The sequence below is a fragment of the Homo sapiens genome, chromosome 18, assembly GCF_000001405.40.
Source record: "Homo sapiens chromosome 18, GRCh38.p14 Primary Assembly".
Classification (NCBI taxonomy): Eukaryota; Metazoa; Chordata; class Mammalia; order Primates; family Hominidae; genus Homo; species Homo sapiens.
In genome coordinates, this window is record NC_000018.10 from 49,505,510 (window position 1) to 49,530,778 (window position 25,269).

General features: G+C 44.3%; 1 long non-coding RNA gene across 1 annotated transcript in view, besides 1 other annotated feature; it reads left to right on the plus strand.

The window, feature by feature from the left end:
- LINC02837 (long intergenic non-protein coding RNA 2837) overlaps positions 1-22,017 on the plus strand; it is a 28,150-nt gene extending 6,133 nt beyond the window's left edge. The window contains exons 3-4 of the long non-coding RNA NR_183517.1: positions 20,674-20,789; positions 21,769-22,017. This is a non-coding gene — a long non-coding RNA (long intergenic non-protein coding RNA 2837). The remainder of the gene's footprint in view (positions 1-20,673; positions 20,790-21,768) is intronic.
- Positions 10,165-10,779: an enhancer, noted in NCBI's record as "OCT4-NANOG hESC enhancer chr18:47042044-47042658 (GRCh37/hg19 assembly coordinates)". NCBI's record gives its function as "activates a minimal SCP1, AML or CMV promoter by ChIP-STARR-seq in primed H9 embryonic stem cells {active_cell/tissue: H9 hESC(primed)}" and the evidence as "EXISTENCE:reporter gene assay evidence [ECO:0000049][PMID:30033119]".
- Positions 22,018-25,269: the final 3,252 nt, after the last annotated feature.

The window sequence follows — 25,269 nt, forward strand, 5'->3', positions numbered from 1 at the left end:
GCCCAGGCTGGAGTGCAATGGTGCAATCTCAGCTCACTGCAACCTCCGCCTCCTGGGTTCAAGTGATTCTCCTGCCTCAGTCTCCCAAGTAGCTGGGATTATACCTGCCACCATGCCTGGCTAATTTTTGTATTTTTACTGGAGACAGGGTTTCACCATGTTGGCCAGGATGGTCTTGATCTCTTTACCTCATGATTCGCCTGCCTTGGCCTCCCAAAATGCTGGGATATCAGGCGTGAACCGCTGCGCTCGACCTAATTTTTGTATTTATTTATTTATTTATTTTGAGATGGAGTCTTGCTCTTTGCCCAGGCTGGAGTGCTGTGGCATGATCTTGGCTCACTGCAAGCTCCGCCTCCCGGGTTCACGCCATTCTCCTGCCTCAGCCTCCCAAGTAGCTGGGACTACAGGCGCCCACATGATGCCCAGCTAATTTTTTTTTTTTTTTTTTGTATTTTTAGTAGAGACAGGGTTTCACCATGTTGGCCAGGATGGTCTTGATCTCCTGACCTCGTGATCTGCCCGCCTCGGCCTCCCAAAGTGCTGAGATTACAGGCGAGAGCCACTGCACCAGGCCAATTTTTGTATGTTTTAGTAGAGATGGAGTTTCACCATGTTGGCCAGGCTGGTCTCTAACTCCTGACCTCAGGTGATCCGCCCACCTCGGCCTCCCAAAGTGCTAGGATTACAGGTGTGAGCCACCAAGCCTGGCCCCTAAGAATAAATTTAACCAAGGAAGTAAGAAAATATCTGCAAGGCAAACTAAAGAACACCAATGAAAGAAATGGAAGAGAACATGAATTGGAAGATGCCGGGCGCGGTGGCTCACGCCTGCAATCCCAGCACTTTGGGAAGCCAAGGGGGCGTGGATCACCTGAGGTCAGGAGTTCAAGACCAGCCTGGCCAACATGGTGAAACTGTCTCTACTAAAAATACAAAAAGATTACCCGGGCATGGTTGTGCATGCCTGTTAATCCCAGCTACTCAGGAGGCTGAGGCAGGAGAATTGCTTGAATCCAGGAGGCAGACGTTGCAGTGAGCTAAGATCATGCCACTGCACTCCAGCCTGGGACGATGGAGCGAGACTCCATCTCAAAAAAGAAAATAAATAAATAAATAAATAAATAAAATATATAAATAAATAAATTGAAAGACATCCCATGCTCATGGGTCGGAATAACTAATATTGTTAAAATAACCATACTACCCAAAGCAATCTACAGATTCAACTAAAATCTCTATCAAAATACTGATGACATTCTTCACAGAAAAACAATCCTAAAATTTGTACCAAACCACAAAGGACTGTATAGCCAAAGGAATCCTGTGCAAAAAGTACAAAGCTGGAGGCATGAGCAAAAAGTACAAAGCTGGAGGCATGATGCTACAAGACTTTAAAATATACTACAAAGCTATAGTAACAGCATGGTACTGGCATAAAAACAGACACATAAACCAATGGAACAGAATAGAGAACCCAGAAGTAAATTCATGTAACTATAGCCAACTGATTTTTGACCAAGATGCCAAGAACACTCATTGAGCAAAGGGTGATCACTTCAATAAATGATTCTGGTTATTTTTATGCAGAAAAATTAAACTAGAACCCCACCTCTCACGCTATACAAAAATCAACTGAAAATGCATCAAAGACCTAAATGTAAGATTTAAAACTATAAAACTACTAGGAGACGGTCAGGTGCAGTGGCTCACGCTTGTAATCCTAGCACTTTGGGAGGCCGAGGCAGGTGGATCACACGTGAGGTCAGGAGTTCAAGACCAGCCTGGCCAACATGGTGAAACCCCATTTCTACCAAATACAAAAAATTAGCCAGGTGTGGTGGTGGGCTCCTGTAATCCCAGCTACTTGGGAGGCTGAGGCAGGAGAATCACTTGAACCTGGGGGGCGGAGGTTGCAGTGAGCCGAGATTGCACCACTTCACTCCAGCCTGGGCAAAAAAGCAAAACTGCATCTCAAAACAAACAAAAACAAAAACAGAAACAAACAAAAAACAAAACTACTAGGAGAAAACATAGGACAAACACTTGAGGACATTGGCTTGGGAAAATATTTTATGAGTAAGACCTCAAAAGCAACAAAAGCAGAAAAAGCAAAAATAAACAAATGGGATGATATCAAACTAAAAAGCTTCAGCACAGCAAAGAAAACAGTCAACACAGTGAAAAGACAACTTAAAGAATGGGAGAAAGTATTTTCAAACTATTTATCTAACAGGGAATTAATATCTAGAATACGCAAGGAACTCAAACATCTCAACAGCAAAAAATCAAACAATCTAATTAAAAAGTGGGTGAATGACCTGAACAGACATTTCTTAAAAGAAGATGTACATATGGCAAATAAATAGATGAAAAAATGCTCAACATCACTAATCATCAGGGAAATGCAAATTAAAACCACAACGAGGTATCATCTCTTCCCAGTTAGAACTGCTATTATCAAAAAGACAAAAGCTAACAAATGCTAGCAAGTATGTAGAGAAAAGAGAATTCTTATGCACTGCTGCTGGGAATGTAAACTAGTATGGCCACTATGGAGAACTGTATGGAGGATCCTTAAAAAACTACAAATAGAACTATCATATGATCCAGCAATTCCACTACTGGGCATTTACCCAAAGGAAAGGAGATCAGTATATTGAAGAAACCTCTGCATCCTCATGTTTATTGCAGCAATATTTGCACTAGCCAAGATATGGAAATGACATAGGTGTTTAACAACAGATGAATGTATAAAGAAATCGTGATATAAATACAAAATGGAATACTATTCGGCCATAAAAGTGAATGAAATTCTGTCATTTGCGGCAACATGGCTGGAACTGGAGGACATTATGTTAAGTGAAATAAGCCAGATGCCAGGCGCGGTGGCTCACGCCTGTAATCCCAGCACTTTGGGAGGCTGAGGTGGGCAGATCACCTGAGGTCAGGAGTTCAAGACCAGCCTGGCCAACATGTTGAAACCCCATCTCTACTAAAAATACAAAAAGTAGCTGGTCATGATGGCGGTCGCCTGTAATCCCAGCTACTCAGGAGGCTGAGGCAGGAGAATTGCTTGAATCCAGGAGTGAGAGGTTGCGGTGGGCTGAGATCGCACCATTGCACTCCAGCCTGGGTGACGAGCAAAACTCCATCTCCAAAAAAAAAAAAAAAACAAAAAAAAACCAACCAGAACAGCAGGTTAAATCCTGCACATTCTCATTCATGTGTGGAAGCTAAAAAGTTTATCTCATAGAAGTAAAAAGTAGAACAGAGGATACTAGAAGCTGGAAGGGTAGGGAAAGGGATAGGGAGAGATTTGCTAAAGGATACAAAATTACAGCTAGATAAGAGGAATAAGGTTTAATGTTCTCTACCACTGTAGGATGACTATAGTTAACAATAATATATAGTTTCAAATAGCTAGAGGGAGGATATTGAATGTTCCCAACACAAAGAAATGATAAATGTTTGAGATCATGGGTATGTGAATTACCTTGATCTATCCGATCACTATACATGATGTGTATCAAAACATCATTATGTACCCCATAAATATGTATAATTATTATGTGTTAATTAAAAAAATTTTTAAAATAGTCAAATTAATCACACACACAAGGGAAAATTCTACAGACAAAAATCTCCAAAGTCCAGGGCTGTCTCTTGCTTGCAATGGAGAATCTGACACTAGTTGTTTCCTCCATGATCCCTGCTCCCGATGGTGGTCTTCTTCTATGATTTCAGGTCTCACCGGGCTCTAGTAGCTCCATCTTCTCCTTTCCTCCTCTATCCAAGGGAAGGTGACCAGTCTTTGTTTGTTTGCTCCCTTAACTCTATCTATGCCTCTACTGGGAGTCCCTTCATTAGGGTTTTTTTCACTTGAGCTACACTTGGCGAATTCTGTTTCCAGCTGGGACCCTGGGTGATGGACAGAGTCAGGAGTAACCACCATGCCCTGGCAATAAATGATGGTTCAGCTGCGTGAGCATTGTCTATATGTGCAGTCAGCCGCTTCCCCGTCCTCCTCTTCACCATGTTCCATTTCTTTTCAACGTGCTAACTCCTTTGTACTAACAATTATTAAAGAGTTGATTTGCTCTACATACCCAGTGACAAATACTCTTCTAAAAACTTGAAGGGGACAATGAGACTGGGATTAACATACCTATGTAGAGTCGGCAATGCAGTTAGATACGATTCGTGCCTGGATATCTGACTTCATTTCTAAAATTCCACCAGTGACTAATTATGTTAGAGTTGCCTCCTTCCATCTTTCCTCTTGTAAAATTCATCTATTTCTGGAATGAATATTAATATTTATTGAATGCTTTTTTTTTTTTTTGAGACAGAGTCTCACTCTATCTCCCAGTCTGGAGTGCAGTGGCATGATCTCGGCTCACTGCAAACTTCGCCTCCCAGGCTCAAGAGATTCAAGTGCCTCAGCCTCCCAAGTAGCTGGAATTACAAGTGCACGCCAGCATGCCCGGCTAATTTTTGTATTTTTTTTTTTTAAGTAGAAACAGGGTTTCGCCATGTTGGCCAGACTGGTTTCGAACTCCTGACTTCAAGTGATTCGCCCTCCTTGGCCTCCCAAAGTGCTGGGATTACAGGCATGAGCCACTGCACCCGGCCTGAATGCTTATTTTATGTGAGTTACTTCGCATTTGTTAAATCAAATAATCTTTACAACGCAATTTTTGTGTTACGAGAAAGGTTAACTAACCCAGTAAATGGCAGACCTGGAGCAGGACGGAACCCCAGGCCTCCTGGCATGAATCCTTTGTGTTCCTGGGGAGAGGAATACATTCAGTCTCACGCTTCTTAGTGTCAATGAATATTTTAGGTAATGGAAAGTAATTCTGGAGCCCAGAGAGAAGATAGGATGGAACGATGATAAAGGGGAAGACACGAAAATACAGCTAATTATTTAGTGAGCATCTACTTGCATGTTGAGCACTGGGTATGGTTCCTCCCACATATTTCCCAGAATCACTTTGTAAGGAGGATTGTACGACCCACGTTTTACAGAGGATGAACTTGGGGCTCAGGGAAGTTTGGTAGTTTGCCCAAGGCCCTACAGGCAGTAAGTGGTTGGGGATGCATTATGCATAGAGCTAGGTGAGCCTGACACTGTTTGCTTTCTTTCCATTACACCTGCCTGTCATGGGAGAGAATTTCAGAAAAGGGATACCAAAATTATGGGAAAACTTGTCTTGGATATTGCCAAGGGTTAGTCCGGAAAGAAGCCCTAAATACTACTATTCACAAAAACTTCATTTCTGTGGTGGAGTGGCTGAGGGACACCATGGGCCACTAGATGGCACCAGTTCAGCGTCGGAAGAAGCTTTCCCCCATCATTTTTGTGGGCAAAGGGTGCGTGGAGCACCCTGTCCCTGCTCCCCAGGGTGGCACAAGAGAATGAGTACCAGCAGGTGAATGCCGCAGGGGCCATCTTGGAGTCTGTCTGACATACGTCTCTGAGGTGGGCAATTTTTTTTTCTTTTAAGACCCAGGTGCAAGTGATTCTTTTGCCTCGGCCTCCTAAGTAGCTGGGATTACAGGCATGTGCCACCATGCCCGGCTAATTTTTTGTATATATATATAAAAAAATTTTTTTTGAGACGGAGTCTCACTCTGTCGTGCAGGCTGGAGTGCAGTGGCATGATCTCGGCTCACTGCAACCTCTGCCTCCATGGGTTCAAGCGATTCTCCTGCCTCAATGTCCCAAGTAGTTGGGATTAAAGGAGCCCGCCACCACGCTGGTTAATTTTTGTATTTATTTATTTATGAGACGAAGTCTCGCTCAGTCACCAGGCTGGAGTGCAGCGGCATGACCTCGGCTCACTGCAACCTCTGCTTCTTGGGTTCAAGTGATTCTCCTGCCTCAGCTTCCCAAGAAGCTGGGACTATAGATGCGTGCCACCACACCCAGCTAATTTTTGTATTTTTTGTAGAGACGAGGTTTCACCATGTTGGCCAGCATGGTCTTGATCTCTTGATCTCATGATTTGCCTGCCTCAGCCTCCCAAAGTGCTGGGATTATAGGCATGAGCCACTGCGCCCGACCTAATTTTTGTATTTTTTAGTAGAGATGGGGTTTCACCATGTTGGCCAGGCTGGTCTTTAATTCCTGACCTCAAATGATCTTCCCACCTCGGCCTCCCAAAGTGCTGGGATTACAGGCCTGAGCCACTGCGCCCAGCCCAGTTTTTGTATTTTTTGGTAGAGAGGGGGTTTCTCCATGTTGGCCAGGTTGATCTTGAACTCCTAACCTCAAGTGATCTGCTTGCCCCAGCCACCCGAAGTGCTGGGATTACAGGCGTGAGCCACCACGGCTGGCCTGGAGTGGGCATTTCTATTCCCTTTACACAGGTGAGGGAAATGAAGATAAGCAATACTGAGTAACTTGCCAAGGGTACTTAGGCATAAAGTTGTAGACAAGGGATTTCAAACCAGGCCTGTCCGATTTGCAGCTTGTAATTAGTGTATTACTAGGTAGATTGGGAATGTTTGGCCTGGAACAGAAAAGACCCTGGAGTGGGATCCACGTTGACAGTCTTCTGGGACTTGGATCACAGCATGGATGAGGGTGCAGAACTAAATCCAATAGGTGGGAATTATCAGGGGTAGATTTTTCTTTTTCTTTTTTTAAACGAAGTCTCACTCTGTCTCCCAGGCTGAAGTGCAGTGGCATGATCCCAGCTCACTGCAACTTCCACCTCCTGGGTTCAAGAGATTCTCCTGCCTCAGCCTCCCGAGTAGCTGGGATTATAGGCGCCTGCCACCACGCCCAGCTAAATTTTGTATTTTTAGTAGAGACAGGGTTTCACCATGTTGGCCAGGCTGGTCTTGAACTCTTAACTGATCCACCTGCCTCAGCCTCCCAAAGCACTGGGATTACAGACGTGAGCCACTGCACCTGGCCAGGAGTAGATTTTTTTAAAAAGTTAATACATGATAAGATTTTGCTGGGCATGGTGGTTTATGCCTGTAACCCCAGCACTTTGGGAGGCTGAGGCAGGAGGATCGCTTAAGCCCAGGAGTTGGAGACTAGCCTGGGCAATGTAGCGAGATCCCATCATTACAAAAAATAATAATAATAAAAATAGCCAGGTTTGTTGGCCCGTGTTTATGGTTCCAACTGCTCTGGAGGCCGAGGTGAGAGAATCGCTGAGCCTGGAAATCAACGCTACAGTGAGCCACGATCACACCACTGCACTCCAGCCTGGGCACCAGAGCGAGACCCTGTCTCAAAAAAAAAAAGATTATATTTAACTAGTTAAGAAGAAAACTGGACAATCCAGGCCAGGTGTGGTGGCTCATGCTTGTAATACCAGCACTTTGGGAGGCCAAGGCTGGTGAAATCCTGTCTCTACTAAAAATATAAAATTAGCCAGGCATGGTGGCATGCACTTGTAATCCCAGTTACTTTGGAGGCTGAGGCAGGAGAATCACCTGAACTCGGGAAGCAGAGGTTGCAGTGAGCTGAGATCATGCCACCGCATACCAGCCGGGGTGACAGAGTGAGACTGTGTCTCAAAAAACAATAAAACAAAACAAAACAAAAACAAAGGACAATCCAGGCCAGGTGCGGTGGCTCATGCCTGTAATTCCAGCACTTTGGGAGGCCCAGGTGCGTGGATCGCCTGAGGTCAAGAGTTAGAGACCAGCCTGGCCAAGATGGTGAAACCCTGTCTCTACTAAAAATATAAAAATTAGCCAGGTGTGGTGGCGCGTGCCTGTCATCCCAGCTACTCAGGAGGCTGAGGCAGGAGAATTGCTTGAACCCAGGAGGAGGAGATTGCAGTGAGCCGAGATTGTGCCATGCACTCGAGCCTGGGTGACAGAGGGAGACTCAAAAAAAAAGGACAATCCAAAGAAGATTGGGAATATTAAAATAAAGGTGTAGTGGAGGTGAAACTTTTTTTTTCTTTTGAGACGGAGTCTGGCTCTGTAGCACAGGCTGGAGTGCAGTGGTGCAATCTTGGCTCACTGCAACCTCCACCTCCTGGGTTCAAGCAATTATCCTGCCTCAGCCTCCCTAGTAGCTGGGATTACAGGCACGTGGTCATAATCCACCATGCCTGGGTAATTTTTGTATTTTTAGTAGAGACAGGGTTTCACCATGTTGGTCAGGCTGGTGTTGAACTCCTGACCTCAGGTGATCCACCTGCCTCAACTTCCCAAAGTGGTGGGATTACAGGCGTGAGCCACCACATCCAGCCTAAAACAGGTTTTTCCTTAATGGTGGTGGTGGTGAAGTGGGAGAATTGTCACTCCACTGGATGGAGTTTGTTTGCATGTGTTTAAATGATAATTATTTTCCTTTTTTTTTTTTGTGATATGGACTCTTGCTCTGTCACTCAAGCTGGAGTGAAATGGTGTGATGTCAGCTCACTGCAACCTCTGCCTCCCAGGTTCAAGCAAGTCTCGTGCCTCAGCCTCCTGAGTAGCTGTTATTACAGGTGCCTGCCACCACACCCGGCTAATTTTTGTATTTTTAGTACAGTCGAGGTTTCACCATGTTGGCCAGGCTGGTCTTGAACTCCTGACCTCAACTGATCCATCCGCCTTGGCCTCCCGAAATGCTGGGATTACAGGTGTGAGCTACTGTGCCCAGCCTATTTTCCGTTGTTATAATTTGTCTGTAACTTATAAAATCGTAAAATAGGCTGGGTACAGTGGCTCACGCCTGTAATCTTAGCACTTTGGGAGGCCGAGGCGGGCGGATCACCTGAGGTCAGGAGTTCAAGACCAGCCTGGCCAACATGACAAAAAACCCCATCTCTACTAAAAATGCAAAAATTAGCCGGGTGTTGTAGCTGGCACCTGTAATCCCAGCTACTCGGGAGGCTGAGACAGGGAGAATTGCTTGAACCTGGGAGGCAGAAGTTGCAATGAGCTGAGATGGTGCCACTGCACTCCAGCCTGGGCAACAGAGTGAGACTTCATCTCAAAAAAAAAAAAAAAAAAAAAAAAAAAAAAAAGCAGAGGGTCTGGATTTCTAGATAATATGAAGGGAGGACATTGCAAAACCCAGCAGCAGCGGAAAGAAATATCCTGGAGGAAGTTGAACTTTACCCTGCTTGGGAATCTATCCAGGTCTGAAGCCCCTCTACCGAGGTCCCCAGAATGTTCCCCGCTTTCCCCACTGAGTCTGCTGGGGAGTAAAGTCCAAGATGACAGCTCAGTTGTTCCCACGTGGCAGTGTCCTCTGAGGGATCCAAATAAACCTGGAGTTTTATTATCCTGACTGTGCCGATAAGGAGACTGGCCGACCTAGGCAGAGAAAGTGGAGGCCACTGTCCGGTATCTCTTGGCAGGTCACACTCATTCCTTTTCTGTTCACATCAGCTGGGCTTGTAACAGCTCCCAGTGATAGCGTATCCAGGCTGGTCACCCGACGGTGGAGTCTTGTCCATTTGGAAGGCCCAGACCAATGACTGAAGTAAACTACTCACCCCACAATTTACTGCTCCTAGAACAAATTGCTTGTCTTGGTGATAATTCTCTTGTGTATGGCTGAAACTATCAGCTCTGGGATAATGTGCATAACTTTGCATGGATTGATAAAGCTCCATTTATTTATTTGGCTAAACAGAGTTATTACACTATTACTTCTTCTATGAGTTTCTGACATAAAGTCAGACAAACTCAAATGCAAGCTTATTTATTTATTTATTTATTTATTTATTTATTTATTTATTTATTTATTTTTGAGACTGAGTCTTGCTCTGTTGCCCAGGCTGGAGTACAGTGGCGCAATCTCGGCTCACTGCAAGCTCCACCTCCCAAGTTCAAGTGATTCTCCTGCCTCAGCCTCCCGCATAGCTGGGATTACAGATGGGCACCACCACGCTCGGCTAATTTTTGTATTTTTTAGTAGAGACAGGGCTTCGCCATGTTGGCCAGGCTGGTCTCGAACTCCTGACCTCAAGCGATTTGCCCAATTTGGTCTCCCAAAGTGCTGGGATTATGGGCATGAGCCACCATGCCCGGCCTCAAATGCAAGCTTTTCTATCATCATACTAATCCTGCTGAATGAATTTGGAGCTCAATTCCTATGGGGGGGCAAGAGCCTAGAGGTCAAAGCTGTCCTCTTGAATCCTGGTGTCGTTGATGCGTGCATAAGGCTTTGCTTGTTCATACTCTCTCAGGCAGAAGTGTAATTTGAGGAAAATGTAGTGTGCATGTGTGTGTGTGCACATGCACATGTGTGCATACATGTCCTATAAGAATGAGAATGGGTGCCCACTTTTCTTGGCTCCTCTCCCTTGTGCCTCTGGGCCTTTCTGCCTGAATGCACTTGCCTGGAAATCCTTGTCGATCTCTCTCATTCAATGACCAGAGCACCAACTATGGAGTTTGGAAACCTGGCTCCAGCCCTGATTCTGGCATTGACATGCTGCATAACATTGGTGAAAGCAACTGGCCTCTTTGAACATCCCTTCCTGGTGTGTGGCAGGAAACATTTGGTTTCCTTGAACTGAACCCGCCTGACAATGGGAAGATTTGCCTGAACCACCTCCCCTGCTGGGTAGCTATAGGGATTAAATGATGTAACAGAAGGTAAAGCAGGATTATTTTTTAAACTTTTATCTATTTTTAATGCCCTCCTATGTATCTTCAAGGCCAGAGCCTTCTGAGACACTCCAGCCCACGGTGACTGCTCTCCTCTTATCTGTCACTTCTTTAGCCTTATACTGCTTTGCTTATTATGATCTATTTATGTGTTGCGCTTTATCCACTTGTCTTGTCCATAAGCTCTTTTTCTGCCCTTTTGAATCTTTTCAGTGGCTAGTGTGCTGCCTTCATCATAACTGATTTCAGTATGTCTTTCCAGATTGACTACTTAATTGAATTTGGAATATGGGGAAGGAGACTTAGTGTAAAGGGACCACCCAATACAAGGTCTGAGATTATTTTATGCCATATTTCATGGTGGAATAAGGAATGAATAACACAATCTGAATGAATAATGCAGTGTATCATGAGTTGGGAAGGGAGAAAAAAAAGAGTATTTGTACATGTCATTTTTTCTTTCTTTCTTTTTTTGTTTTTTTGAGATGGAGTCTTGCTCTGTTACCCAGGCTGCAGTGTAGTGGCGTGATCTCGGCTCACTGCAACCTCTCCCTCCTGGGGTCAAGCGATTCTTCTGCCTCAGCCACGCAAGTAGCTGGGATTATAGGAGCACGCCACCGCACCTGGCTAAATTTTTGTATTTTTAGTAGAGATGGGGTTTCACCGTGGTGGCCAGGCTGGTTTCAAACTCCTGACCTCAAATGATCCGCCTGCCTCAGCCTCCCAAAGTGCTGGGAATACAGGCATGAGCCACTGCGCCCGGTATATACATGTCATTTTCAATCATTTTGACCTGAATCACCTGGTTTTATCTGGTCAATGAAAGCAGAGGACAATGGTCAAACTTACTATTTGGGTCTTTTGAGACAAAGTAACCAGCTGATCGACTGTCTTTTCTGCTCAGCAGAACTTGCTGGCCCTGGAAGCCATGAGGAGTAACTGAACTGAGGCGAATAGGCTCATAGCTGGGGAGGAAACAGCAACATAGCAACATTTTTACTTTTGCCTTATTGGTGTAACCTTGTTCACAAGGAAGACATGGAAGGGAAAGGACTTGGAGAGTGAGAGAGGAAACAGAAAAGAAAGATTGTGAGGAAGGGCCAGGAGGAAGCAAATAGAGCTTCCAGTTCATGCTTGGGGAGTACTCAAAGTGTCCATGGGAGAGCTACGGGTGGTTGCTTCATATGCAGGGAGAGGCCTGGCCAGACCCACCTTCCTCCCAGCTCTGACCCCAGAGTGAGGTCAGTGTCCAGTTTCCACGTGAACGATTTGCAGACCCCACCCTTTCCCCAGCAGGTAGCAAAGGCCACCTCACTTGTGTCTATGCACAAGCCTGGGCTCAGAGATTCTCTCAAGCCCTAGTGTCAGTGCTCTCCAGATCAAGAGGACCAACAGAGTATATATCTATAGAGAAGTTTATTTTAAGGCATTGGCTCACGTGATGATGGAGGCTGGCAAGTCCAAAATCTGCAGGGTAGGCCTGCAGCCTGGAAACCCAGTGAAGAATTGCAGTTTGAGTCCAAAGGCAGTCTGCTGGCAGAATTCCTTCTTGCCCCTGAGCAAGAAGGAATTATTTTCTATGCAGGCCTTCCACTGATTGGATGAGGCCCACCCATTCAATGGAGGGTCATCTAATTTACTCAAAGCCTATTGATTTAAATTTAATCTCATTCCAGCACTTTGGGAGGTGGAGGTGGGTGGATCACTTGAGGTCAGGAGTTCGAGACCAGCCTGGGCAACATGGTGAAGCCCTGTCTCTACTAAAAATACTAAAAAAAAAAAAAAAAAAAAAAAAAAATTAGTTGTGCGTGGTGGCACATGCCTGTTATCCCAGCTACTTGGGAGGCTGAGGCAGGAGAATTGCTTGAACATGGGAGGTGGAGGTTGCAGTGAGCCGAGATTACACCACTGCACTCCAGCCTGAGCAACAATAGTGAAATTCCATCTCAAAACAAAACAAAAAAACTCCCCAAAAATACTTTCGAAGAAACATCTGGAATAATGTTTCACCAACTATCTGGGTACCGTGGCTCACCAAGTTGGCACATGAAGTTAACCATCCCATCTGGAAAGGGAAGATGGCTCCGTGGCAGAGCTGACTTTGGAGGGAGGACAGCAACTACTGCTTTCCCCTCCTTCTCCTTTTTTAACATTATTCACTTATTTACACTTTCAAACAGGAATACAGGCACATAGTAAATAATTTAAAAAGTCTAGAAAGGTAGAAGGTGAAAAGTGAGTCTCCCTTCCACTCCTGATCTGTTTCTTGGGAATTCTTTCAGAGAGATAATACAAATCTATAAGCATTTTCCCTTTAAAAGCATAAAACATAACATATTCCACATATACGTTTCATGCTTTTCTATGCCTTGCTTTTTTCTTTACTTAGCAAAGAAAAAGTGGAGTTTTTTCTATATCGGTCCACATTGATCTACTACATTCTTTTTTTTTCTTTTTCTTATTTTTTTGAGATGGAGTCTCACTCTGTCGCCCAGGCTGGAGTGCAGTGGCCCAATCTCGGCTCACTGCAACCTCCACCTCCCAGGTTCAAATAATTCTCCCTCCCTCAGCCTCCTGAGTAGCTGGGACTACAGGAGGCTGCCACCACACCCGGCTAATTTTTGTATTTTTAGTAGAGACAGAGTTTTGCCGTATTGGCCAGGCTGGTCTCGAACTCCTGACCTCAGGTGACCCGTCCACCTTGGCCTCCCAAAGTGCTGGGATTACAGGCATGAGCCACGGCACCCGGCCTCTACCACATTCTTTTCAATGGCCACATAGTATTCCCCAGTATGTTTCAGCGGTCTCCCAGGGATGCACACGTAGGTTGCCTCCAACCTTTTGCTCCTACACACACCTCGCTGCAACAACTGTGCTTGCACATCTGTTTTCGAAGCTGCCCTTTTCTTGCTTACACCCATGACTTCCTGAATGTATTCTTCAGATGAGCTTAATAATGTTTTTCTGACTTATCCCCCATCACTTCTGGTCTCTCCTGCCTCCATTCATCCTTTTTAAGCTGAGCGACTGCCTCTGCTGCAGGCTAACGTGCTCCCTCCAGTAAGAAGTTAATCTCCCCCTGGTTTCCTGAGACTCTCCCGAACTGGACAGCGTCTGTTTATCCCACCCCAATTGTGGCTCTTTAGATTCAGCTGGAATTGCCCATTGTTGAAGAGAGCCTGTATATTTTTCTAAGCTAATTTCACAGGCAGCAGCATTCAAATTCAAATTTCCCCTGGCACTTGGCTGCAGTCAGTCAAAGTGACCAAGGAGAATAAATTGTAGCCAGACAGGTCTCACAATCCTCTTGCCTGGTGGAGGGCTTTATTGGCTGCAAATCCCACCACCAGGCAGGGAGACGTCCTCATCACTCCATGACAGGTCCTGGGGCAGGCCGTGATAGATGGTGAAGGTCAGGTCACCTCTAGGCCCTGGAAAAAGTTCTGACTCCCAAGTGCCTGGAGAGTGTAACAAAGACAGGGGCAGCAGGAGCTGGAAGAGGTTACAGAGATCATGTCACCCAACACTGCTTTTCAATAGATGAGGACCCGGACTTAGTTTGCTAAAAACCAGTTATGAGCTGCATCTATCAGACCAGTGGCCCTAACCCTTTAACAGACCTCTTAGAGAATCTGATGCAATGAGGCCCTTCTTCCCTGTAAACTGAATATGCATACCCATGCAATGTTTTGGATGCATTGTGTGTTTTGGTTGGGGTGGTGTGGGGAGAGGGTATTCTGGGTTAAGTCACGTAAGCTCATGCCTGTGGAAGATTTTCTCTCAAAGGGCTATGCAAATGCCAGGGATTGTAATTTTCTTCTCCTGAATCGCTCAGACCAAAACGTTTCTCCACTAACCTGTCTTTACCTAAACTGGCTTTAAATTCATTGCATTTCTGGAAAGTACTGATTAGAATATGACAGCTGAGCACCCCCTTTTCTGAGAAGAAATTGATTTTCTTAATCCACTGAAGTGTGGACGTGCTTAAGTTTACCACAGCTGCTGAAAAGCTTCCTTTCTCTTATACTGGGTGGCATGTCTTCAGGCTGAAACAGCAGCATAGAAAGTTCTGGCCTGGCCTTTGACTGGCTGCCCCATCTGGGACCACTGCCCACTTGAGGGTAGATCCAACAGAACTGGGACCAATGGGTGCAAAATATGAAAGGATTTATCTCCCCTTTGTGGGAGGAAAAATATTTTATCTCCCACTAATCTTTTTTTTTTCTTTCCTTTCTTTTGAGATGGAGTCTCGCCCTGTTGCCCAGGCTGGAGTACAGTGGCACAATCTCGGCTCACTGCAACCCCTGCCTCCTGGGTTCAAGCAGTTCTCCTGCCTCAGACTCCCAAGTAGCTGGGATTACAGGTGCCCACCAACACACCTGGCTAATTTTTTTTGTATTTTTAGTAGAGATGCGGTTTCACCATGTTGGCCAGGCTGGTTTTGAACTCCTAATCTCAAGTGATCCTCTCGCTTCGGTGTCCCAAAGTGCTAGGATTACAGGTGTGAGCCACCGTGACCAATCTTTTTTTTTTTTTTTTAAACAGAGTCTTTCTCTGTCATCCAGGCTGGAATGCAGTGGTGCGATCATGGCTCACTGCAGTCTTGACCTCTCAGGCTCAAGTGATCCTCCTACCTCAGCCTCCTAGTAGCAGGACTACAGGCATGCAACAACCATGCACTGCTAAATTTTTTTTTTCATGGATACAGGGTTCCTACGATGTTGCCCAGGCTGATCTCAAACTCCTAGGCTGAAGCAATCCTCCCAACTTGTTCTCCCAGAGTGCTGGGATTACAGGCATGAGCCACCACCCCTGGCTTCCCACTAATCCTAAACAATATGTAATATGATCTCTTCCCACTAATCCTGAACAATATGTAATATGATCTCTTCCCACTAATCCTAAACAATATGTAATATGATCTCTTCCCACTTTACCAAGTAAATTTGTTCATTTTAGAAAATACAGACAGGCAAAAAAGAGAAAATAAAAATTATCAGAAATTCCAGCTCTCATAGTGTTAGTATTTTGGCATATGACCTCCCAAACACATGTGCACACACTCACACACCCAGGGTCATTTTATACAATGTGATTATATATTGTGCTTCCTGCGTCAGATCTGATTATTTCTCTTAAAAAATAATACAAATCTTCCAAAAACTAAAGTGGTCCAATAATGGAATGGGCTGCCTCAAAAGCAGTGGGGCCCCAACTCTGGAAATGTTTAAGTGGAGGTTTGACAGGAGCAGCTGTGAAAGCGATTTCTGCAGTAGGGAGGCACTTAGGCCGGGAGCTTTTTAGGGATTCCATGCACTAGAGGCCTTGGCAAAGTTTCCTCTGTGAGTCGCAGGAACTCCTGGGCAGGTGGTTCCCTCCCTTCCTATCTTACCCTCTTACTAAGCCCCACAATGCCATTTGCTTGGCTCTCCCTGGTAGGGCTCTTGGGCCAGATGAAGTGAAATCAGTATCCTTCTCCGCTCTTCTGCCAGCATTGTTACCAGCCTCAGGGGAACCATCTTACGTGCAAAGGCTTTCATTAGTGGAAGGATTTTACTTCCAAGCTGTGACCTAATTGGTTTTCTTCTTAATACAAAAGAGAGAGTACTCCATTTCTATTCTATTGCCATCTTACAGCGGGCACTTGGGTTTTTAATTTAGCATTGTAGGGCTGGTTGTTTTGTTCGGGTGTGTGTCCATGTGTGCACATGCACATGTGTAGTGTGAGATTTTTAATTGCCCAAATCATCCAAATGCAAGTGTTTCCTCGTATTCGAATCTCACATTGACTAGTGTGTGTTGGTAAGTGCGCAAGGGCCTGGGCTGGCAGATTGTTATGTGGTGAGAATCCGGTTAGTCAAAGTGTATGTGGTCACAAAGGAATCCAACCTTTATTTTATCAATTTAATTTAATTTTTAGATTTCAATTATGAAATATTTCAAGAATACAAAAAAGTACAGAAAAATATAATTGACCCCCCATCTATCGTTCAGTCATTCACTTGATTGAACAAATGTGTAATATTTGCCATATTTACTTCCTACTTCCTTTTGTAGGAAATAAAATATTAAAGGCACAGCTAAAACCCAATACACTCATCCCTTTCAGATCCTTCTCCATGGGCAAACTACTAACATGAAGTTGCAGATTTTCATATTTTTACTATATATATGAATGCTGCCATAAATAATACTTTGCTTTGCTTATTTTAAAGATTTATGCAATCTGGCTGGGCATGGTGGTTCACTCCTGTAATCCCAGCACTTTGGGAGGCTGAGGCGGGTGAATCACTTGAGGTCAGGAGTTCGAGACCAGCCTGGCCAACATGGTGAAACCCTGTCTCCACTAAAAATACAAAAAATTAGCCAGGCTTGGTGCTGCACACCTGTAGTCCCAGCTACTCGGGAGACTGAGGCAGGAGAATCACTTGAACTCGAGAGGTGGAGGTTACAGTGAGCCAAGATCGCGCCACTGCACTCTAGCCTGGGCAACAGAGCAAGACTCCATCTCAAAAAAAGAGAAGGTTTACAAAATGGCATCATACTGTCAATATCATTTGCAGCCTTCATTTTTTACATAATACTGTGTTTGTGAGATTTATCTGTGATTTATCCATGTTGCTTTCATAGATTCCTTTGGAATATTATATACTCTCCCATAGTATGAAATGGTACAATTTAGCCATTTTCCTAACTGGATATTTAGGTTGTCCTTTCCCCCTACCCATACCCCTTTTCTTGCTATTGCAAATAAGACTGCAATGAAACCCACAGACTTGCTTCCGTCCCTGTATGCAAGTGTGAGAATATTCCGAAGACACAGATCTTGAAGGAGAATTGAGGATCCATAGGGTGTGGAACTTCATTTTATAGTTGAGAATAAAGGGTATTTTAGTTGTTAGTTTATTTTTTTAAATTGTGGTAAAATATATATAACAAAAATTTACCATGTTGGCCATTTTTAAGTATACAGTTCGGTGGCATTAAGTACAGTCACGTTGTTGTGCAACTGCCACCACCATCCATCTCTGGAACATTTTCCTCTTCTCCAACTGGAACTCTACACCCATTAAGCAATAAGTCCCTAGTCAACCCTCTCCCCAGCCTCTTGTTTTTGTCTTAATAGAAGAAGTCAATATCACTCCTTCATTCATCCATAAATATTTACTGAGTATCTATCATGTGTCAAATATATAAATAGGAAATTATATGAATAAAATTTAGTTTTTGCCATCAAGAAACTCCCACCCTAATTGTTGGAGCCCAGGAGTTTGAGGATGCATTGAGCTATGATCATGCCAGTTGCACCACTGCACTCCAAAGTGAGGAACAGAATAAGACCTTGCGTCTAAAATAATAATAATAACAATTTTAAAAATTGGCTAGAGGCTGGGCCTGGTGGCTCACGCTTATAATCCCAGTACTTTGGGAGGCTGAGGTGGGTGGATCACCTGAGGTCAGGAGTTTGAGACCAGCCTGGTTAACATGGTGAAACCCGCTCTCTACTAAAAATACAAAAATTAGCTGGGCGTGGTGGCGCATGCCTGTAGTCCCAGCTACTTGGGAGGCTGAGTCAGGAAAATTGCTTGAACCCGGGTGGTGGAGGTTGCAGTGAGCTGAGATCACGCTACTGCACTCCAACCTGAGAGACAGAGCAAGACTTTGTCTCAAAAATAAATAAATAAATAAATAAATAAATAAATAAATAAATAGGCTAGGAGTGGTGGTTCATGCCTGTAATCCCAGCACTTTAGGGGGCTGAGGCAGGAGGATCACTTGAACTCAGGAGTTTGAGACCAGCCTGGACAACATAGCAAGACCCCATCTCTACTAAAGAGTGCCTGTAGTTTCAGCTACTTGGGAGGCTGAGGTGGGAGCATTGTTTGAGCCCGGGAGATCGAGACTGCAGTGAGCTATGATTGTACCACTGCACTCCAGCCTGGGTAACAGAGAGAGACCCTGTCTTAAAAAAAAAACAAAGGAACTCCTACTCTAGCTGAAGACAGACATAAAAACAATTATATGGGACATGTTGGAGAAGCCAAGTACTAGGAGATCCCAGAGTTACAGCAATGAATTCATGGGTGGGAATGAGGTGAGATGAGGTGGGGAGTTGAAGATAAGAAAATCCTCAGAAAGAAAATAATTTTTAAGCTGAACTTTGAAGCATGAAATACAATTTTTCCAGGCAACAATGGAGGTAGGGTACGGATTTGTGTAAGCGCCTTCAATCAATCAAGAAATATACTGGTATCAGTCAGAGCCTAACCAGTGTAAGAGATACCACTGTAACTATGTGAAACAGAGGAGAGTCAATGCTGGGCATCAGTTACACAGGGGACGCAGGAGATAAGGAGCTGAACAGGGGCTGATGACGCCATTCAGAGAATAGCAGTAGAAAGAATACCTACCATCCTTAGGTCAGAGTCAAGGGAAGGAGGTGGTGTCACCAGAGCCAAGGGCTGGGATCACCCAAAGGAGGCTGGAATCACAGCTGGTCTGGCTGATAGCAATTGGAGCCATGCTGGAGCCATTGTCTCCCCTGGAGACAGAGAGGGAGGGGGTCAAACACCCTGGCCTTTCTTACCACCACAGTTCACTTCCCATTGTCTGAAAGAGCAAAAATAGCACACTGAACTAATCCAGAGAGAGTAAGCACAGAAAGCAGCTACCACCCCTAGGGTGGGGGGCAGAAGGAACAAGAAGAGGCTAGGGACATCGGAATTAGAACATCAGAAGAGAGGCCACATGGAGCTGGTGTCCAGACTTCTTTTTCTTTTCTTTTCTTCTTCTTTTAAATAGAGATGGAGTCTCACTATGTTGCCCAGGCTGGTCTCAAACTTCTGGGCTCAAGTGATCCTCCTGCCTTGGCCTCCCACAGTGATACCAATTGGTGTCACTAACCTGAGACACTGAAGTTGTAGCTTTTATAGGATGTGGTATGGGCTTTGAGTCAGTGACCAAAATATGACACTGATTTCCCCCAGACATGTGGGTCTGGAATTCAGGAGAGCCTCCATCAATTACTACCTTTGTTAAAACAAAATTAAAATGGAGACTGGGCCTAAAAAATTCCTGAGCAGGCCAGGTGCTGTGGCTCACACCTGTAGTCCCAGTGCTTTGGGAGACTAAGCTGGGAGGGTCACTTGAGGCCAGGAATTTGAAACCAGCCTGGGCAATATAGTTAGCTGTGTGTGGTGGCGTGCCCTTGTAGTCCTAGCCGCTAAGGAGGCTCAGGCAGGAGGATGTCTTGAGCCCAGGAGTTCGAGGTTACAGTGAGCTGTGGAGACCCCCTCTCTAAGAAAAGAAACAAAATTCCTGAGCAAATAAAACCAGCTAACCCTTAAAATAGCCTTAACCTTGCTTAGACTGTGAACATCAGTGAAACTTAACAGGGTCAAGACTGTGAATATAGGTAAAACTTAACTTGAGTCTTTTCTGGTGAATGCTTATGTTAGGCAGAAAAATTAACCTCAGCTAATCATAACCAGCCAATTTGTATGATTATGTAACTAGGGACTTTCCAACAAAAAAGGCAATTTTGTAATTGCAAAAATAATCAAATAATTTTTAAATTTTGCTTCTGCATTTACCCCCAAAATACTTGCCCCTCATGATTTGTCATTGGAATACTAAACTTGTTTTGGCCCAGTGTCCCCAATTCATGAATTACTTCTTACTCAAATAAACAGTTTGCAATTTTATTGTGCTTCAGGTTTTTCATTTGCAGTTTGCTGTCAAAAGAGGGATCCAAAGGTGATGACCACCCCTGTCCTACAGCTATAGTTTGAATGTGTCCCCAACAGTTTGTGTGTTGGGAACTTAATTCCTAAAGCAGTGGTGTTGAGAGGTGAGACCTTTGAGTGGTGATTAGGTTACAAGGGCTTGCCCTCATGTATGTGGTAATGCTATTATAGTCAGAGTGGGCTAGTTATCAAGAGAGTGGGTTCCTGAAAAAAGGATGAGTTCAGCTTAAGAAGGCCCTTGTCAGATGCAGGCCCTTTGACTTTGGACTTCCCAGCCTCCAGAACTATGAGAAATAAATCTCTGTTCTTTATAAATTATGCAGTCTGTGGAATTTTGTTTTAGCAACACAAAATGGACTAAGACACCCAGCAAGCCCCAGGAGCATCAAGGAAGCAGGCATGAGGTACCTGCTGGGCCCACCGTGCTCACTGCTTTCTCACTGCGTCTGGAGGTCCTGAGTGAGTATCTCTTGGATTTTGAGTTCCACAGTTTGTGTCCTGAGTTCTCCAAGTTTGAGTGATTTTGTTTATTATTATTATTATTATTATCTTGATATGGAGTCTTGCTCTGTTGCTCAGGGTGGAGTACAGTGGCACGATCTAGCTCACTGCAACCTCCATCCCCTGGGTTCAAGCAGTTCTCGTGTCTCAGCCTCCTGAGTAGCTGGAATTACAGGCACACGCCAGCATGCCCGGCTAATTTTTATACTTTAGTAGAGATGGGGTTTCTCCATGTTGGCCAGGTTGGTTTGGAACTCCTGACCTCAAGTGATCTGCCTGCCTCCCAAAATGCTGGGATTACAGGCATGAGCCACAGTGTCCGGCTGAGTAATTTTATTTTATTTAATTAATTAATTTATTTTTTGAGACAGGATCTCACTCTGTCACCCAGGCTGGAGTACAGGGGTGTGATCATGGCTCACTGCAGCCTTGGACAAAGCAGGGTTCAAAGCAATCCTCCCATCCAAGCCTCCAGAGTAGCTGGGACTACAGGTACATGCCACCATGCCTGGGTAATTTTTTAAAATGTATTTTTTCGTAGAGATGGGGGCCTTGCTACGTTGCCCAGACTGGCCTTGAACTCCTGAGTTCAAGTGATCCTCCTGCCTCAGCCTCTCAAAGTATTGGGATTACAGGAGTAATTTTATTTTTGACTGGACCCAGAGGTTGAAGTGGGTGTTCAGTGGGAACTGGACTGGCTTCAGCTGGAGGCTTCGGGTAGGTAAAATTTTAGAGGGACAAGGTATGATGTGTTCATCAGCATCTAAGGAGTCTGGGAGTCCTCTGTCCAGAACACAAGCCAATAATATGTTCAGAAATTATGGACCCCAAACCTGTGGTTTTCTAGAGAAATGAATGCACCTTACTAGAGACCATTTAAAGTGGCAGTGGGATGGGTTAAAAACATTTTTTTTTTAAACTAAAACTTAATTCCTAGGTTCACAACAATGAGAAGTTTTGAGCTGGATAAAACTGTTCATTTATGGAGCATATTGGAAAAGGAGGGATCACACATGTCTCAGAAACAATGGGATGCATTTCCTGTTTGGTAGAGGGAGGCTTCTAAAAGGTTGATTGGTTACAAAATTGCCTCTCTAAAAGACTCCTTTCTAAAGGCAAATAAGGAAACTGAAAAGCTTAAGAGATGAATTAAAGACGAAAATAAAAATAATTATATGGTAACTGACATAACTTTGACCATTTCCGCCCTTTATTCTCAATATATTTGTACACCCATTTTCTCAGCTTACACCTACTGATCCTTTTGCCCAGTTATGCTTATACCCTGAAGATGATGAGAGATGGGAAGTTAGGCCCTCAGAACAGCCATGTCTGGTTCCTATAACTACTTTTGCTCAAAACGGAGTAAAAAAACTGGTGAAAAATTGAACTCAGAGTCATAGCAAAAGATTTTCCAAACCTTAGAGAAAACCTCAAAAAATTTACTGAGGAATTTAGAATTCTCACAGGAGCCCGTGACTCTGGACCTCCCAATTTGTGTCAGGATAAGACATGAGATGGGACCTGGGGAGGCAAGTAACTGGATGGCCACAGCAGGATGGGATACGCCTGAGGAAGTACTGCCAGTCATGCAAGTGGTACTTCTAGGGTGGCCCAAATATGCCAGAAAAATGGCTGAAAAACTTTAGAAGCTATCCCCGTTGTCTTTCCATAAAAGATTCCCTGCTCCATTATTCAAACAGGTGTGAAAGGAAAATCAAAAACTCAGGACCCCAATTCACCATGCCAAAGGAAAAAATCAAGCTGAAAGCTGAGTCATGCAAGAAGCTGCCTTTTGTTCCTAAGCAGATAGCTACAGATAAAAGGTGAAATATCTCCACAGGGACCTTATCTTATATAACGTGTCCAGTTACTGAGTGCGAGACGAATACATAATCGACTGTCCCCCTACCTGCTTTTTTTCTCTTGCAACACCTGGATTACCATGCCCTCCCTTTTCCCCCTCCAGCTCACTTTTCCCCTTTAAATACTGAAGCCCTCAAAATCATCTTTGGACAAAGGCACAGACCACAGACTGTTTCTGTGATTCCATGTTTATTTCTTCCAGGCATTGTCCTTAACCTTGGCAAAATAAACTTCTAAGTTGATATCCATTATGTATATGTGCATATTTAAAAGGACTTTACACTTTTTTTTTCTCTCCCAGGATCTTGTTTTTTGAGAAAAAGTTTTTTTTTTTTTTTAAATTCTCAGTCAACTGAATTCTATTCTCTCCAGTTCTCTCCACTTACTTCTGCCTGTCTCTCCTTCCTTTGCCATCCTCTACTGCATGAGGAACCTAAACTAATTTCTGACAGCCTGGGATTCCTTAAAGAAAACAGAGAAGGTGCCAGACTCCTTTTTGGGGAATTTTCCTCTGTGTTTCCTTATGGAATCCCAAGAGGACGAACAGACAAGTTCTGCTCGGATCTTAAACTGCTTGCTTTTTATTGTGTTGTCTGATTTTTCTTTTGACTAAAATAGTTATGTAAACCAAAAATACAATTCTAAGTGCCCCTCAATCAACTGGTGGACCCTCCCCTTGGCCAAGGGTATTCCAAAGTTAACCTGAAAAACTAGTTCAGGTCATGATGGGAAGTGGGGGTCGGATATTATATCCTTCTCCCTGCATTAGCATTAAAGCAGAGACCTTAAGGCTGATAGAACAGACTTTTTTTTTTTTTTGAGATGAAGTCTTGCTGTTACCCAGGCTGCAGTGCACTGGGTGCTATCTTGGCTCACTGCAACCCCACCTCCTGGGTTCAAGTGATTCTCCTGCCTCAGCCTCCTGAGTAGCTGGGATTACAGGCATGCACCACCAGGCCTGGCTGATTTTTGTATTTTTAGTAAAGATGGGGTTTCGCCATGTTGGCCAGGCTGGTCTCAAACTCCTGACCTCAGGTGATCCGCCCACCTTGGCCTCCCAAAGTGCTGGGATTACACGTGTGAGCCACGGTGCCGGTCCAGAACAGACTTTTTAAGTCTGATAAGAAACACAGTCTATTTTCTCTGAAGCTTAGAGGCTTCATCTGCATAAGAAGAACCTTGGTCTCCAAAACTACCTATCTTAATGCAGACATTCCCTTCTATTGATTCTAGATCTTTAGATAAACTATTTCAACTAATTGCCAGTCAGGAAATCTTTGCCTCTACCTATGACCTGGAAGCCCAATCTTACCCCCCACCACCAGCTTCTTCAAGTTGTCCCACCAATGCACATCTTATATGTATTGATTGCTGTCTTATGTCTCCCTTAAATGTATAAAACTAAGCTGTAACCCAACTACCTTGGGCATATGTTGTCAGGACCTCCTGAGGCTGTGTCACGGGAATGTCCTTAACTTTGGCAAAATAAACTTCTAAATTGATTGAGACTTGTCTCAGATACTTGTTGGTTTATGGTTATTACAACAGGGGCTACTCTTGGGTGTTTAAGATAAGTAAGGGTGTGGTTTAGACACTTAGAGAAACGTTTCTGTAACAAAGTGCACTGTAAAAGCATTACATGGCCTAGTCCCACGACAGCTCTTTTTTTGGAGACCCAGGATTCCCTGTGAGCTCTGCTTAGAGCTCAGAGATCCAGTTAAAAGACAGAGACTGAGTTTAAAACTACTTATCTAAATAAAAATGGTCTCCTTATACAATCCTGTGGTAGATTTCTATAATTTTATGTTTGACTTGCCAGGCATTTTTAATCTTCCTGTAACGCACCAACACTCTCTCTCTCCCTACTTGGAGATATAAATATTGCTATCTGATTTTCACCTAGGAGTTGTTGCTTTAGTTTGCACATTTAGGGCTGTCTTACTGACAATTGCCTAGGGTAATGAAACAGGTTATCAAAAAATTGGAAGTCTTGGCTGGGCGTGGTGGCTCATGCCGGTAATCCCAGCTATTCAGGAGGCTGAGACAGGAGAATCACTTGAACCCAGGAGGTGGAGGTTGCAGTGAGCTGAGATCCTGCCACTGCACTTCAGCCTGTCTGAGCGAGACAATGTCTCACAAAAAAAGAAAAGAAAAGAAACAAAACCCAGGGAATTGGAAGTTTAAAGTAGGAGGAAAAAAAGGGGTCTTTGGTTGGGTGCGGTGGCTCATGCCTGCAATCCTAGTACTTTGGGAGGACGAGATGGGAGGATTGTGCTGAGACCAGCTTGGTCTGGGAGACCCTAACCCAGTGGCGCTAGAGGAATTAAGGACACACACACAGAAATATAGAGGTGTGAAGTGGGAAATCAGGGGTCTCACAGCCTTCAGAGCTGAGAGCCTCGAACAGAGATTTACCCACGTATTTACTAACAGCAAGCCAGTCATTAGCATTGTTTCTATGGATATTTGATTAACTAAAAGTGTCCCTTATGGGAAATGGGATTAACTGAAAGTATCCCTTATGGGAAACAAAGGGATGGGCCGAAATAAAGGAATAGGTTGGGCTAGTTAA